We start from the raw sequence: 17,350 nt of genomic DNA on the forward strand, positions 1-17,350 counted from the left end.
GGCTAGAGTGCAGTGGCATGATCTTGGCTCAGTGCAGCCTTGACCTCCTGGGCTCAAGATCCTCCCACCTCAGCCTCCTGAGTAGCTGGAATTACAGGAGCGTGCCACCATGCCTGGCTAATTTTTTATATAGACAGGGTTTTGCCATGTTTCCCAGGCTGGTCTTGAACTCCTAGTCTCAGTGATCCTCCCACCTCAGCCTCCCAAAGTGCTGGGATTACAGGCGTGAGCCACTGTGCCCAGCCTTATTTATGGATTTTCAAAAAATAAACCACCTGCCATCATCCTCAGCAAACTAACACAGGAAGAGAAAACCAAACACCACATGTACTCACTTAAAAGTGGGAGCTGAACAATAACACATGGACACAGGGAGGGGAACATCACACAGTGAGGCCTGTCGGGGGGTGGGACATGGGGAGGGGGAGTATAAGGAAAAATAGCTAAAGGATGCTGGGCTTAATACCTGGGTGATGGGTTGACCGGTGCAGCAAGCCACCATGGCATACATTTCCCTATGTAACAAAACCTGCACATCCTGCACATGTACCCTGGAAATAAAAATAAAAATAAAAAATAAAAATAAAAAAAGAAAAGAAAAATGTCTAATAAATGTAAGACATTTTCAACTTCACTTGTAGTCAAAGGAATGCAAGTTAATAAGTTATCACTTATCTAAGAAAGAAAAGGAAAATAATTTAAAAAATAAAAATAAAAACAACCACACTAGGCCCAAGTAGGCCCAAGTAAGAAATACATCTTGGTCAGGCGCGGTGGCTCATGCCTGTAATCCCAGCACTTTGGGAGGCTGAAGCGGGTGGATTTCCTGAGGTCAGGAGCTCGAGACCACCCTAGCCAAAATGGCGAAACCCCGTCTCTACTAAAAATACAAAAATTAGCCAGGCGTGGAGGCGGGCGCCTGTAATCCCAGCTACTCAGGAAGCTGAGGCAGGAGAATTGTTTGAACCCGGGAGGCAGAGGTTGCAGTGAGCCGAGATTGCGCCACTGCACTCCAGCCTGGGTGACAGAGCAAGACTGTGTCTCAAAAAACAAACAAACAAACAAAGAACAAAACAAAACAAACAAAAAAATGAAATACATCTTAGTAATTGAAGCAACTCTTATTTGACTATCATCTGCTCACTTTTATACTCTGACAGGTGCTTCTCCTCCCTGTAGCATGAAGGAATACAGCAATAAGGGCTGAGGCTGTCCTGGAGGATAGCTAGAGAGGTGACACGGAGGAAAGGCGCACAGTGAGACTCCAAGACGAGCTGCCCATGCAGTGCTGAAGATTCTGGGCTGCCCTCTCAAAGCACAGTAAGAAAGTGGGTGGTCCTGAGCTCTGAGAGCTGCCCCCACTCCACTAGGGGTTTTTCCTCAAGAGAGATTCTTCAGAGAATCATTTTCTTTTTCTTTTTTTTAGAGACAGAGTCGCACTCTATGGCCAAGGCTGCAGTGCAGTGGTGCAATCATAGCTCACTGAAGCGTCAAACTCCTGGGCTCAACTGATCCTCTCACCTCAGCCTCCTGAGTAGTTGGCATATGTCACCATGCCTGCTAGTTTTGTTTGTTTGTTTGTTTGTTTAGACAGAGTCTGGCTCTGTCACTCCAGTTGGAGTGCAGTGGCATGAACTTGGCTCACTGCAACCTCCGCCTCCTGGGTTCAAGTGATTCTCCTGCCTCAGCCTCCTGAGTAGCTGGGATTACAGGTGTGCAGCACCATGCCTGGCTAATTTTTGTATTTTTAGTAGAGACAGCATTTCACCATGGCCAGGTTGGCCTTGAACGCCTGACCTCAAGTGATCCACCTGCCTCGGCCTCCCAAAGTGCAGGGATTACAGGCATGAGCCACTGCATGGTTCCATTTGCTGTACAAGTTAGAGCAGTGGCTGAATTACAGAGCTGTTGTGTAGCTCTGAGACAACTGCGCAGGTTATAATTTCTCTACTTGCCTCCTGGATTCATTTTTCATCCTTCCTTGCCCTGCTCTGTGCCCAAGGAGACTGAACCAACCCCTTCAGATCAGAGGGCAAGAGGAGAGAGGGGTCAGGCTTTATTATCTATGCCTTTGCTTAGGAGCTGTGTCTGTTGGTAGCTGTCATGCTCCGCACCTATCACTCCCATCAGGTGGCCCATGTCACCAGGCTCTAATACCACTTTTCTCTCCCCTTGCTCCTTCAGTCCTAAGGGAAATGATGGCTTCCTGGAGCCAGACTTTGGGTGCCTCATGCCACAGGGCATGGATTTAGCTAGTAGCCATGGCAGTTGCCTGACAAGACCATTCTGTTGCCTTGTGGCAACCTCCATAAATCACAGGACTGGATTTATGTGATATTTAAAATCTTACAGATTTAATTAAAGATTTTCGAGTAGATGAGCACAGAAGATCAGATATGTAGTCTAAGAATATTAACCTGGTAGAGTATTAAATATATGGGAAAGGGAGAGAATGGAGATGACACCAGTGAGCAGATACTGCCATGGTCCCTGTCAGTGGTGATGACAGGTGAGATACACAAGGTCAATGGGAAGGCTCCAGATAGACATCTACTCCAAAGGAACCAAAAACCAATTGTCTTCGGGGGACACAGTGGAAGGATGTTTCAAGTAGGAATCTGCCAATGTTGTCTTTTCTGAATTTCCTTTTGTGAGGAACTGCTCTTCTGCTACTCTACATGATTTTGATGAGCCTGCCAATTGCAGGACTCTGTCCCTCTGACCACAGTGGGGTGTGTGTGTGGTAGTGGTAGGTGCAACCAAGAATAGTATCTCAAACCCAGCCCATGATAGTGCCTCATTCTCTTGGGCAGTGTGATTGATATATTGGTGGCCATGTGCCTCAATCTAGGCCAATCAATGCCTTTTTTGGTGACTTTTCCATTTGGAGCTGAAGGAGAAGGGGCCTTACTTTCAGAAATATGTGAATGGGGATGCTGCAGCCTCTTTTTTTTCCCCACAACAAGAACAAAGACAACATAGACAAGTGGGTGGAGAGTGAAGATGGTGACTTCCTTCAAGTTCTTGAGTCTGGTCAAACTAGAAGCGAGATCAATTTCTGGACTTCCCAGTTATGTGATCCAGTAAATCTCCTTTTATGCTTAAGCTAGTTTGAGTTTTGAGTTGGGTTTCTGTCACTTGTAATCAAAACAAGTCTGAACTTTAAAAAAAAAAAAAAAAAGCGGGGGCTGGGCACAGTGGGTCACACCTGTAACCTCAGCACTTTGGGAGGCTGAGGCAGGCGGATCACCTGAGGTCAGGAGTTTGAGACCAGCTTGGCCAACATGGAGAAACCCCGTCTCTACTAAAAATACAAAAAGTAGCCGGGCATGGTGGCATATGCCTGTAATCCCAGCTACTTGGGAGGTTGAGCCGGAAGAATTGCTTGAGCCTGGGAGGCAGAGGTTGCAGTGAGCCAAGATTGTGCCACTGCACTCCAGCCTGGGTGACAGAGCAAAACTCCATCTAAAAAAGAAAAAGTAACATGCTCTTCCTATTAGAAACAGGCTTAAGAAACTTCCATGAGTCCACAGTAAATTCAATGGAATGAATGTTTAAGCAGATACGATCTAAGGAAGTTTTATTAGCAAACTATTGATAAATCAAAGGTGTTTCGGAGAATTTTGGGGAAACTAGTTTTGCTCATTTTCATTCTTTATTTTCCTTCTTATGCTAGTAGTTTCTGCTTTTGAAATTCTAAGAGGAAAAGAAACAGTAAGTGTAGCCAGCCAAGGGAAAAGGAATAGACTGAGAAGCAGTAGAGGAAGCCTGGGAACAGAGTGATGGAGAAGGGAATTATGAGAAACGCCATGGCATATGAGACAGCTCCAGCCTGGGAGTCAGGACCTGCGTACAGTCCTGGCTCTGCCACAAATGTGCCATCTGCTTGCATAAGCTAGTGTGACTAAGTTGTAATTCCTACACTTGAGAAATAAGGAGACCTGGAATAAAAGATGATTAATATTCCCTTTCAACCGTCTATTATTCCAGTGTATCCCTATTTTTAGCAGGAACATGAAGGAAGCAAAGGATTAGGGATCATCACTATTGGATTCATAGCTGTGAAGACAGTTTCCCAGAAGAGTTCCCAGGAGGTCTGGCTTGGAGGGCAGCTGCTCCAGTGCCCCCAGACCCAAGCTCAGATCAAACCACAGGCATCTGAGGCTCTGGCTTTATCCTGGAAGGGTTAAGACGTGGTCAATGAGAGAGGGAACCAAGGAAGGTCTCCTTGTTTTGCTAAATAGTTAATGTAATCCCCTAGGCAGAGAAGGTAAAACCAACCTAATTTCCTCCTTCCCTCCTCACCCTTTTCCCACCCAATGAAGGAGTCCTGACTCAACCTAAACCCCACCCACAGCAGCATACCTGGAACCCATCCAACCTAGCAAGTGCAGCCTGCCTAGTGGCGACCTGAGCAAACCAATTTCACACCGGAAAATTCAATAGCCTGCTATTATCACAGCCAGGAAGGCAGGGAAGGAGAAGCTTCATCCTCAAGGCAATTTAAGCAGGAGGAGAGAAGAGTATGGGGAGGAGTGGTGAATAAACACACAGGAAAAGGAAGTTCTGCAGAAGTTTGCTTCTGCTCCAAAGTTGGGTTTGAAGGGTAGTGTATAAGAAGAAATGGGTTTTCTTCTAGCTCTTTCAAACTTTCTGCCATTTCTGCCAAAATACCACCAAAGAGTTTCTCAGTTCTCAGATTCCTGAGAAACAAGACCTGCCACACAGTAGGTTCTTGGTAAATAATAATTTAATTTTAAATTATTAATTTAAACATTAATTTAAAGTTAAATTAAAGGCCGGGCACAGTGGCTCATGCCTGTAATCCCAGCACTTTGGGAGGCCAAGGCAGATGGATCACGAGGTCAGGAGATCAAGACCATCCCGACCAACACAGTGAAACCCCGTCTCTACTAAAAATACAAAAAAAATTAGCCAGGCGTGGTGGCGGGCGCCTGTAGTCCCAGCTACACAGGAGGCTGAGGCAGGAGAATCGTGTGAACCTGGGAGGTGGAGCTTGCAGTGAGCCGAGATCGCGCCACTGCACTGCAGCCTGTGACAGAGCGTGACAGAGCGTGACAGAGGGTGACAGAGCGAGACTCTGTCTCAAAAAAAATTAAAGTTAAATTAAAATAAATTACTAATTATTAAGCACCTCGCTCTGTCACCCAAGCTGGAGTGCAGTGGTGTGATCATAACTCATTGCAATCTCAAATTCCTGGGCTCAAGTGATCCTCCCATCTCAGCCTCCAGAGTAGCTGGGACTCCAGATGTGCACCACCACACCTGGCTATTTTTTTGTTTGTTTGTTTTTTGGTAGAGGTAGGGTCTTGCTCTGTTGCCTAGGCTGGTCTCTAATTTCTGGGCTCAAGTGATCCTTCCACCTCCCAAAGTGCTAGGATTGTAGGCATAAGGCCCAGCGATAAATATTTACTGAGTGGATAACTGAACAAATGGATGGACACATCTGTGGGTCATCATATTGACTCTCTTTGTGGTGCCAGATGTGATGAGCCACAGGAGTAAAATATACTCCATGAAAGAGAAGGGAGGATCACGAGAGGGGTTCAAGCACACTCAGCTGAAGCTGCTTCCCCACTCTGGACTATCCAGGCAGAATCTTAATATTGGTCACAGTGCACAGAGGGTATTTCCCTCAGTCAAGGAGCTTCCTATGGGCCCTTCCTATAGGCCCAGGACCACGCAGTTATTTATTAGTCCCTGACTTATAAGAGCTTGCAGTCTAAGTGAAGAGACAGTGTTACCTCGGAGGAAATAATGACATGATTTGCATAAATCAATAAATAATTGGCCTTAAGTAATGTAGGAAGATGTATAATTATAATGAGTTCAAAGAAAAGAGAGATGAGTGGGGCTGGAACAGTCCAGAAAGCACCATTGAAGAAGTGGGATTTGACTTTGATGCAGAGAACAGGCAAATGCTCATTCACGTGGGGGAATGTGGGTTAATTTTCTGAATCCTGATCCCACCTGGGGCATCACAGTGCTATTTTCCAGATGCATGCCCAAGTCCCCTTTCAATTTTCCATCCCTGGTCTGCATGGCAGGCGAGATTTCCATCACCATTAGAGCAGATGGGGCTTCACAAAGAGCAGTGCAATTTGAGTGCTGATGAGGCCAACAGGTTTGATTCAGAAGGTTGTTATTGCTGCCAGGCTGTAACTTAGACATATAAATTTGCTGCTTCAAATGTTCCATCAGGAGAATCAGCTGGGGAGCACTAATCCTAAGTGAAACCGTCTTGATTACAATGGAAGAAACGACAACAGCATATCGTTTAACTGCTGAACCCTTACAATGAAACACAAAGCGGCATTAAAGTTCTCTGCCTGTAATGCCATGGTTTAAGCAGTTAATCTTATTTTAGCTGAATGGCATGTTCATTACAGCAAATAAGTAGGTAATGTGTGGGATTACTGAAGAGGGAAGATAAATTAAACCAGTTATGGGCATCATGTTGATTTTTTTTAACTGTCTGATTTAACTTGGTATTTTTCAACAGCCAGATCTAATAAACACTCATTTAGCAGAGATTAAGGAGATGGGACTCTTGCCCAGAAAAGGTATTATATATGACTTGAGATGCTAGTTTTAAGGGCAGTAATTCATGATACTCAGCACTGGCTCCAGCCTGGAATCTTCAGTGCTTTAACACGAGGGGTTCATGAGTGGCAAAGCAGTGCTTCTCACTTTCCACTAAATAGTTATGTTTCTACCATTTATACTTTTTATGGGCAGCTGAAGGACTTTTCTTCAAGGTCTCAAACATTCTTTTCTGTAGACCTGCTACAAAGACACCTTCTAACATCATACAGTGTAGTTCAGGAATGTATTTTATCTTTTCTCAAACAACTGCTACTCTAACTTCAAAAACCATTCATTGAACTATGGGTACAAAGGACAAAGGAGATAGAGTCCTTGAATTGGAAGAGATTACAATGTAGTCTGGAGAGGAGGAATAACAATCACACACAATAAAGAACAATAAAGAAGCTGGTAACAGCATGAGCGGGTACATAAACAAGTGCCAAATTACATAGCCAATTTGTGCAGTGTAGCCCATAAGGAAACAGATGGACAAGTACTTACTGAGCAGCATGAAATACTCCAGGTTGGGTATTGTGCTGTAGGCTTTTTGTATACTTAATTTGTGCAAATTTTTTTTTTTGAGGCAAGTATTATGAACTCCCATTTCACAGGTGTAGAAACCAAGGCTCAGAGAACCAAATCGCTTACCCAAGTAGGGGGAAAGCCCCAGGTCTGATTTCAAAGTCCTTGCCTTTTCCTTTATGGCAAATTGTTTCTTTAAGAAATATGAAGAGTCAGGAGCAGAAGAAAATCATGTAAGATGTCATGGAAGAAGTGGAATTGGATCTGAGTCTGAATGTACCCTTCAACCCAACTTCAAAGCAGCAAATACCTTGATGCAATCTGTTTGACAGTCAATTCTGCTTCCAGGAATTAAGCCTAAATAATTAAGAAAATGTCCCTTTAGAAAGTTTGTATCCATTTGCACTCACACCATATATTATATAAATTCATTGTTCTCATGCCAATACCAGACATTATCATTCCTTTTCAATATCTGCCAGTCCATTAGATGGAATATAGTATCACCATGTAGCTATAATTTGTGTTTCTTTAGTGGGTAGATATGAACACCTATTCATATCTTTGCTGCCTAACTTTGTTTTAGAATTCTCTGTACCTTTTCCTTTGCTGATTTTTTTTGAGACAAGGTCTCGCTCTGTCTCCTAGGCTGGAGTGCAGTGGCATGATCTTGGCTCATTTCAGCCTTGACCTCTTGGGCTCAAGCAATCCTCCCACCTTAGCCTCCCAAGTAGTTAGGACTAGAGGCACACGCTACCATGCCCAGCTAATTTATTTTTTTATTTATTTTTTGTAGAGATGGGGTTTTACCAGGTTACCCAGGCTGGTTTTGAACTCCTGAACTCAAGCAATCCTCCCGCCTCAGCCTCCCAAATGCTGGGATTACAGGCATGAGCCACCATGCCCTACTTTATTTTTCTATATTTATTTACCTCTAAATAATTTTATTTTAAATTTAATTTTATAAATTAAAATTCATTTTCATTATTGCATTTAGAACACTTTACACATTAAGATCTTTGAATTGTCATATATGCTGCATATTACTTCTAGTTGATTTTTTTTAACACAAACAAATCTGAGTCATTTTCTTTATAATTTCTGCAGTAGCATCCTGGAAATACAGTTACAGCAAGAGGTAACCTTCAGAGTAGACAGCTGTCTCGAAATAGTAGCTCAGGTGAAGGGATAGCCAGGGCAGACTTGTACAACTTCTAAGTATCTGCAAGGACAATCCCAGTTGTGCAGACTCAGGGCTCCAATGAGATTCATAGTTGTTAAAAGGACAAGTAACTCCTGATGGCTATACAACTAAAGGTCGCCTCAGTTACACTGATCTCTTAGTAACTTAAATTCCTAGGATAATCTCTAATTTGTTCAAAGTGTACTATTCTTTTGGCATACTGTTAAGTCCACAAATACTATATGTGACATTTTGTCTTCAGATTGATGCAGGATTTTTCTTGGCCCCTTCACTGGACTCCCAACCGGAGGGAACACTTGCTCGGCCCACCACATTCAACCCCTTGTGGGTGGGAGCCTGTGAGCGAGTGAGTGCAGGATCCAGCCGGCCGCTCCGGGCACCAGCAGAAGCAAGCTCCATGTGGGGCCCATGGCCAAACCAGCCATGAGCAAGTGAGTGTGGGATCTCGCCAGCTGTTCTAGTCACTGGCAGGAGCAGGCTCCATGTGGGGCTCATGGCCAGATCAGGAGTGAGCGAGTGAGTGCAGGATCTGGCTGGCCACTTTGGGCACTGGCGGGAGCAAGCTCTGTGCAGGGCCCATGGCATCACCGAGATGAGGGTGCCCATGACCCCAAAACCCCAGGGGGAGTGTTACAGTGCTCTCTTAGCGCTGCCATCTGCAGATGGCTATGTGTTAACAGCTCAGCTGGCCCCTTGTCTCATCACGTGGGGTGGCTGCCCTCTAACAGCAAGGGCAAAGGGCCGGTGTGATAGCCTTTTTGGGTCCCCACACTCAGTGGGTCCTGAGCTCTTGTCCATCCAGCATCCAAGAAGAATGAAGTTGTGTGGACACTTGAAGGATGGTGAGGGTAGAGAACTTAATTGAGCAGTGGAAATGGCTCTTAGCCTAGAGGGGAGCTGGAGAGGGGATGGGAAAAGCAGATAGTCTTCCCCAAAATCTGGCCATCTCTTCCCCAAAGTCCAGCCATCTCTCCTTTCTACTGACTGAGTCTGGGATCTTTATAGGCACAGGATGGGGGTGGGTGGAGTGTGGTGGGCCACACGTAGTTTTGGAAAAGACAACACTGGATTGGTAAAAAGACATTATTCAGAAAGAACCAATCAAGAGAGAGTGAGCAAACAGGAATAGAAGTTCTCACTTTGGGCTGCAGGTTTCAGGCTTTTAGGCTTGAAGATGGGGTTTCACCAGGGACCCATCCCTGTTTGCCTAGGCGTTTGGCTGCCTCCTGCCACTCTCAATATTTTTGTTTTGTTTTCGCTCTCAATATTTTTTAGTGAGTTTTTTAGTTCATTTTTGTGCTATGTTCATCAGGTTTGATATCAAGATGATGCTGACTTTGTAAAATTAATTGGGACTTCCTTCCCTTCCTCCCTCCCTCCCTCTTCCCTCCCTCCCTTCTTTCCCTCTTCTATTTAATCTACTTACTGATATTTGAGTTTAATATATCATGTTACTATTTGTCCTGTCCTGTGTTCCTGTTTCCCTCTTTTCTTGATTTCTGTTATATTGATATTTCCCCCTTCCTCCATTGGTTTGATAGTTACACCCTCTTTTACTTTCTTTTAGCAGTTACCTTGAAGGTTTCAACATTAATCCTAATCTCCAATGTTACTTGAATTTTTATCTTATTCCCAAATAATGCAACAACCCTAAAACATTTTAACTCCAAGAATATTGTGATGATTAATTTTATGTGTCAATTTGACTGGGCCACAGGGTGCCCAGACATTTGATCAAACATTATTCTGGGTGTGTTTGTGAGGGTATTTCTGAATGAGCTTAGCATTAGAATCAGTAGACTGAATAAAGCAGATTGTCCTCCCCAATGTTGGTGGACCTCATCGAATTAATTGAATACCTGAATAAAATAAAAAGGCTGATAAGATGAAACTTTTCCTGCCTGACTTCTGAGCTGGGGCATTAGTCTCCTGCCCTCATATTGGAACCACATCGACAGCTTTCCCAGGGCTGCAGCTTGCCAAATGCACATCTTGGGATGTCTCAGGTGCCATAATCACATAAGCCAATTTCTTACAGTATGTATGTATGTCATAGGAGACATTTATATGCTAAATATATATAATATATGTTATAGGAGACATATAATACATAGAGAATACATAATATATAGATCATATAACATGTAGATTATGTTTCATATAGAATGTTATATATGTAGATTATGTATTTCCTATGACATATATTAAACATAAAACATATATATAAAATATCTATCTCCTATGACATACATATTAATTATTAAATAGTGGCTTATGGCCAGGCATGGTGGGTCACGCCTGTAATCCCAGCACTTTGGGAGGCTGAGGCAGGCAGATTACCTGAGGTCAGGAGTTCAAGACCAGCCTGGCCAACATGGTGAAACCCCATCTCTACTAAAAATACAAAAGTTAGCTGGGCATGGTGGCATGTGCCTGTAATCCCAGCTACTTGGGAGGCTGAGGCAGGAGAATTGCTTGAACCTGGGAGATGGAGGTTGCAGTGAGCCGAGATTGCGCCACTGCACTCCAGCCTGGGCGATAGAGTGAGACTCTGTCTCAAAAAATAAAATTAAATTAAAAGTGGCTTATATATTATCATATATAATATGGCTTATATACCATATAGCTCTCTCTCCTCTTGGTTCTGTTTTTCCTGGAGAACCCTAATACAAATCACCTCTTGACTTTTATGTCACTTGTGCATTTTATTCTCTCTCTCTGTATGTGTGTGTGTGTGTGTCTATATATATATATGTTAACTCCACATCACATCATTGTATACAGCCAGTATTTATTTAGATTTATCCATATAGTTACCCTCTACACTAATTTCCTGTTCTTGCCCCTGTGAGTTTCCAACTGGGTTTATTTATTTATTTATTTATTTTTCTGAGACAGAGTCTCGCTCTGTCTCCCAGGCTGGAGTGCAATGGCTCGATCTCCGCTCACTGCAAGCTCCACCTCCCGGGTTTGCACCATTCTCCTGCCTCAGCCTCCCGAGTAGCTGGGAACCACAGGCGCCCGCCACCACGCCTGGCTCATTTTTTGTATTTTTAGCAGAGACGGGGTTTCACCGTTAGTCAGGATGGTCTCGATCTCCTGACCTCATGATCCGCCCGCCTCGGCCTCCCAAAGTGCTGGGATTACAGGCGTGAGCCACCGCGCCCAGCCCCAGCTGGGTTTATTTTACTTCCACCTGAAGATGTCTTTAGCATTTTTTTAATGCAGTCCTACTTGTGATAAATTCTTTTTGTCCTGAAATGCCTTTATTTCCCTTTTAATTTTGAAGACCATTTTTGCTAGGCATGCAATTCTAGACAATTGGTTACCCTCTTTTTTTTTTTTTTCAAGCGGACTCTCGCTCTGTCACCCAGGCTGGAGTGCAGTGGTGCAATCTCAGCCCACTGCAACATTTGCCTTCTGGGTTCAAGCAATTCTCCTGCCTCAGCCTCCTGAGTAGCTGGGATTACAGGCATGCACTACCACACCCGACTAATTTTTGTATTGTTAGTAGAGATGGGGTTTCGCCATGTTGGCCAGGCTGGTCTCGAACTCCTGATCTCAAGTGATCCACCTGCCTTGGCCTCCCAAAGTGCTGGGATTATAGGCATGAGCCACCACACCTGACCAATCAATTACCTTCTTTCAGCACTTTGAAAATATTCCATTTGTCTTCTGGGTTTCATTATTTCTCTGGAGAATCCAGCAGTAAGTCTAGTGGTTGCTCTTTTGATGGTGATGTCTTTTTTTCTCTAGCTATTTTATAAGATTTTATCTTTGGTTATCAATTACTATGAATGTGCCTGGGTTTTTTGTGTATTTTAAATTCTGCTTGGGTTTTTTAATCTGTGACAATGCTTTTCACCAGTTTTGAAAGTCCTCAGCTATTATCTTTTCAAAAGTTGCTTCTAGGCTGGGCACAGTGGCTCATGCCTGTAATCCCAGCACTTTGGGAGACAGAGGCAGGTGGATCACCTGAGGTCAGGAGTTCAAGATCAGCCTGGCCAACATGATGAAACCCCGTCTCTACTAAAAATACAAAAATTAGCCAGGCGTGGTGGTAGATGCCTGTAATCCCAGCTGCTCGGGAGGCTGAGGCAGGAGAATCTCTTGAACCTAGGAGGCAGAGGTTGCAGTGAGGTGAGATCACGCTATTGCACTCCAGCCTGGGCCACAGAGCAAGACTCTGTCTCAAAAAAAAAAAAAAAAAAAAGTTGCTTCTCTCACATTTTCTCTGTTCTCTGCTTTTCAGGGACTCTAAATACATTTATATTAAATCTTCTCATTGTATCCCCTATATCTCTTATCCCCCTTGTCTGTACTTATGACCTTTTTTCACTCCATGTTTCCTTCTGGAAATGTTCTTCTAATGTATTCTTAATTATGTCTTCAACTATATCTTATTTGCTATAAAACCTTTCCATTTAGTTCTCAATTTCAGCTGCTATTTGTTTTTGTTTGAGATTTTGTTCTTTTTACGGTTTCCATAATTATTAATCTTGTTTCTTGTTTTAGCTCTTCAAACCTATTAAACACATTTCAGAGCAATTTTCTGTCAAGTAAAACTTGACAACAAAAAAAGCAATCAATAAGTTCCAGTTCCACTTATGATAGAGAAAGCCAAGAAGCGTTGCTTTCACAAACTACTTTGCCTTGCGCAGAGTACAGGATGAAAGATAGCAGCAAATTAAAAAAAAAAAAAAAAAGAGAAGAAAACCGAAATTTTAACAAATGCTTAAAGACTAAGTGTGGGCTAGTGTGATAGCTTAGAATTCCTGGGAGCCACAGATACAAGGAGAGTTTAGCCCAAATTACTGGCTCTTTTTCATAGCCTCCACTGGGTATTCGTAAGAAAAACTGGGGACAGAGCAGGAGAACTGAAAGAGACTCCTTTTGGTGACACAGGCATGCAGGTGACAACCAGCTACCACTGTGAGAGAGACATGAAACCCAGGTCCTTCTCTTACATAAAGAAAAAGCCATCTGCCACCAGGGGAGTGATACAAAACCTCCTATCCCCTGGTGTCAGCCAACAAAGTTGGCTGTAGGCAGGGAGGAGTTGAAGCAAAAACCATCTGCCGTTGGACGGGGCAAGGAAACTCACACTTGTGACCATGATCCTGCACTGATACAAAGCAGAGGTTTGCCGCCAATGAGAGAGGGACAGGAAACTCACTCTCACCTAAGACCCCACAATTACAAAACAAGGTCTGAGTGCCACGGAGAAAGGGGACCCAGCCCTGAAGCTCACACCCCCATGGCTTGCATGAGACTGAGGCTGGAGGAGGAGAACCGCCTCTTGCCCCAACCATAAAGCCTTGCACAAAGTAGTAAGCAATAGCTTTCTACAGCTGAGGAGGGGCAGGAGCAGAGAGAAAGAGATATCATCGGTGGTACAAGTGTGCAGAGTCTGCTAAAAGCTGAGGGTGGAGCAGGAACACTGAGAAAAACTCTGGCACTCTAGGCCACACACTAAGCCCACAGCAGCAGCAGTCCACCACTGAAGAATTTGAAATCTGTGATATACTGAAAGTAACTATAGCAGCAACAAACTCAAACCCAAATCAACTATTTATTAGAGTTATTTGCCTCTCCCCCAACACTAATGGCCTAATAGAAAGACAGCTGTGCCCATTTCCAGATATAAATACTATTTACCTCAGTTTCTACTGTTCTTTAACATGCAACATCTGACATTTAATCAACAATTATAAGACATTTTAAAAAGTAAGACTTTGGGAGGCCGAGGCGGCAGATCACAAGGTCAGGAGATCGAGACCATCCTGGCTAACATGGTGAAACCCCGTCTCTACTAAAAATACAAAAAATTAGCTGGGCGTGGTGGCGGGCACCTGTAGTCCCAGCTACTCGGGAGGCTGAGGCAGGAAAATGGCGTGAACCTGGGAGGCGGAGCTTGCAGTGAGCCGAGATCGTGCCACTGCACTCCAGCCTGGGTGACAGAGCGAGACTCCGTCTCAAAAAAAATAAAAAGTAAGAAAAAAAAGATCCATTATCAAGAGATAAAAGTAGTCAACAGAACCAGATCCAGAGATGACCCAGATATTGATATTATCAGATAGAAACTTTAAAACAACTATGATTAAAATGCTAAAGGACCTAGTGGAATGGATGGACACCATGTATAAATAGATTGGGAATTTCAGCAGAGAGATGGAAACTGTAAAAAAAAGAGTTAAATAAAAATGATAGAAATAAAAATATGATATTAAGAGATAAAGAATCTCTTCAACAGGCTTATTGGTGGACTAAACACAGCACAAGAGAGAATCAGTAAGCCTGAAATAGGTTAACAGAAATAATCCAAATTGAAACACAAAGAAAAATAGAGTGTATAAAAGAAAACAGCACATCCAACAGAGCCATGAGACACTATCAAATGGCCTAACATAAATCTAATTGCAGTCTCAGAGGAATATTTGATCATATAATAGTTGAGGATTCTCTAAAATTAATAAAAAAACAACAAACAGATCCAAGAGGTTTGGAGAATCTCAAGCAAAAGAAATACAAAGAAAAACACACCCAGAGGCTGGGCACGGTGGTTCACGCTTGCAATCCCAGCACTTTGGGAGGCCAAGGCGAGAGGATTGTTTGATCACAGTTGTTCCAGACCAGCCTGGCAACATGGGGAAACCTCATCTCTACTAAAAAAAAAAAAAAAAAAAAAAAAGAAGAAGAAAAGAAACGAAAAGAAAAAAAGCTGGGTATGGTGGCACATGCATGTAATGATAGGTACTTAGGAGGCTAAGGTGGGAGGATTGCTTGAGCCCAGGAGGCAGAGGTTGCAGAGAGCTGAGGTCACACCACTGCACTCCAGCCTGGGCAACAGAGTCGACCCTGTATCAAAAAAAAAAAGGCACATCATAGTTTAACTGCTGAAAATTAAAAAAAAACGATATCTAGAAGGCAGCAAGAAAAAAAAATTACATATAGATGAACAAAATTTAGAATTACAGCAGAACTCTCAACAGAAACTTTGCAAGCCAGGAGGCAATGGAGTAATTTCTTTAAAGTATTAGAAAACTTAGACTTTACCACAATCCTATCAGGTAACTTGAAATCTTGGTGTTGGTGAAGCTAATCAGGGCTAGAATTGAGAAGAAAGATGGTGGTACTGTGGGAACAACAGTAAATGACAGGGCTTAGATGCAAGGTGCTGGGGTGCACCTGAGAGCCAGAATGACATGGGTATGCCTCTTGAAATCAGACCATCAATAAGCAAGGTCCCCAAACCCAAAATGTGTTTTTCAGAGCCAGACCACATCAGACTACATTCTCTAAATCACTTTCGGCACAGTGGAGTTGGTTACAAGCAAAATTGCATAACTGCAGTGCCCAGCTAAGCACCTATTCCCCAGTGTCTCAAAGACATAGAATGAATGGTACAGATTGTGACAAGAGCCAAACTACAAAGGATAGTTCCTATGATTTCATCTATTGTGATATCAGGAGACAGGAAGAAGGTGAACAGATAATCTGCTGATGCAGAGGTCACAGACCCAGGAGGAACTGAAGCAGCTAAACACCCATGTGCTCCTATTTGAGATATTGGGTTGAAGCAAGGGGTAAGTCCTGAATGGATGGTGGGCCAAATGTGCCAAGTAGTGCAAGGTCAAGCAGAACTTCAATCCTTTCCATAATCTCCATCATTTCCCAAAAGCTTAAAAATATACAATCTAATTTTACAATTTCTTTTTATTTATTTATTTATTTTTTTGAGACGGAGTCTCGCTCTGTGGCCCAGGCTGGAGTGCAGTGGTGCGATCTCAGCTCACGGCAAGCTCCGCCTCCCGGGTTCACACCATTCTCCTGCCTCAGCCTCCCAAGTAGCTGGGACTCCAGGAGCCCACCACCACGCCCGGCTAATTTTTTGTATTTTTTAGTAGAGACAGGGTTTCACCGTGTTAGCCAGGATGGTCTTGATCTCCTGACCTTGTGATCCGCCCGCCTCGGCCTCCCAAATTGCTGGGATTACAGGCATGAGCCACCGCGCCCAGCCTAATTTTACAATTTCTATGCATGCACTCTTCAAGACAAGTGACCCCCAACTTCCCTTTTCCGTGTAGACTGCTACCTCTAGTTCCCTCATATACATTCAGGAATCACAGGACGAAACCACGATTGGGGGAGTGGAAATTTGATCTAGAGATTCTACTTGCTTACTCCTCCTTCTTTATGCTATCCTTATGCTAGTTGTTTGCCTGCACCACAGTAAGAGAAAAGCAGCAAGAGGGAACATGAGCATGGGGTGGGGAGGGAGGTGGGTGGGTGTTGGATTTTGACTGCTCAGAGTCCCTGGGTTATACAAGTAAACATTGTGCCTTATTTAATGGAGGACAGCCAAGATATAAAGAGGGTTTCAAAAAGCCAAGGCCAAGCAAGCCCTTGGTATCTCAGCTTCTATTACATTACTGGTAATAGCACTACAAATCAATGTAGAAAATGAGGTACTAGTAGGAGAGAGAGGAAAAGGAAGAAATAGCTGATCACCTCTGGAAAGAGGGATGGCTGCAAGGATTTCTGCTGTGGGCCCCTGCCTCTAAAGATACCCAATACAGTGACAGTAGCCTTCTCCTACCTTCTTTTTACTTTTTGCTGGAATGCAGTGGTGCGATCTCGGCTCATTGCAAACTCTGCCTCCTGCAATTCTCCTGCCTCAGCCTCCCGAGTAGCTGGGATTACAGGCACGCACCACCACGCCTGGCTAATTTTTAGTAGAGAAGGGGTTTCACCATGTTGGCCAAGCTGGTCTCAAATGATCCACCAGCCTCAGCCTCCCAGTGTTGGGATTACAGGCGTGACCTACCGTACCCAGCCCTTCTCCTACCTTCATGTGATCACTCTTCTGTTTCAGAAGTCAAAACAGGACAAGCAACTAATAATTTTCAATTCTGCCTATCTATACTCTAGTTATATACAATTATCTGAGAAATTACAATTGAATTATTTTCCACTTCCAATGCTATTGGGCAAATCTTTCAGACATGATCCTGA

At 43.6% G+C, this 17,350-nt stretch overlaps 1 long non-coding RNA gene across 1 annotated transcript, besides 2 other annotated features; it reads right to left on the bottom strand.

The window, feature by feature from the left end:
• Nucleotides 1-5,819: 5,819 nt before the first annotated feature.
• Nucleotides 5,820-17,060, bottom strand: LOC105377929 (uncharacterized). The gene is made up of 2 exons (XR_942843.2): nt 16,935-17,060; nt 5,820-7,488 (listed from the first exon to the last, which is right to left on the bottom strand). It is a non-coding gene; the product is annotated as an uncharacterized LOC105377929 (long non-coding RNA).
• Nucleotides 8,350-8,851: an enhancer, noted in NCBI's record as "H3K4me1 hESC enhancer chr6:108352965-108353466 (GRCh37/hg19 assembly coordinates)". NCBI's record gives its function as "activates a minimal SCP1, AML or CMV promoter by ChIP-STARR-seq in naive H9 embryonic stem cells {active_cell/tissue: H9 hESC(naive)}" and the evidence as "EXISTENCE:reporter gene assay evidence [ECO:0000049][PMID:30033119]".
• Nucleotides 8,852-9,351: an enhancer, noted in NCBI's record as "H3K4me1 hESC enhancer chr6:108353467-108353966 (GRCh37/hg19 assembly coordinates)". NCBI's record gives its function as "activates a minimal SCP1, AML or CMV promoter by ChIP-STARR-seq in naive H9 embryonic stem cells {active_cell/tissue: H9 hESC(naive)}" and the evidence as "EXISTENCE:reporter gene assay evidence [ECO:0000049][PMID:30033119]".

This window comes from Homo sapiens, chromosome 6, assembly GCF_000001405.40.
Source record: "Homo sapiens chromosome 6, GRCh38.p14 Primary Assembly".
NCBI classification, from domain to species: Eukaryota; Metazoa; Chordata; class Mammalia; order Primates; family Hominidae; genus Homo; species Homo sapiens.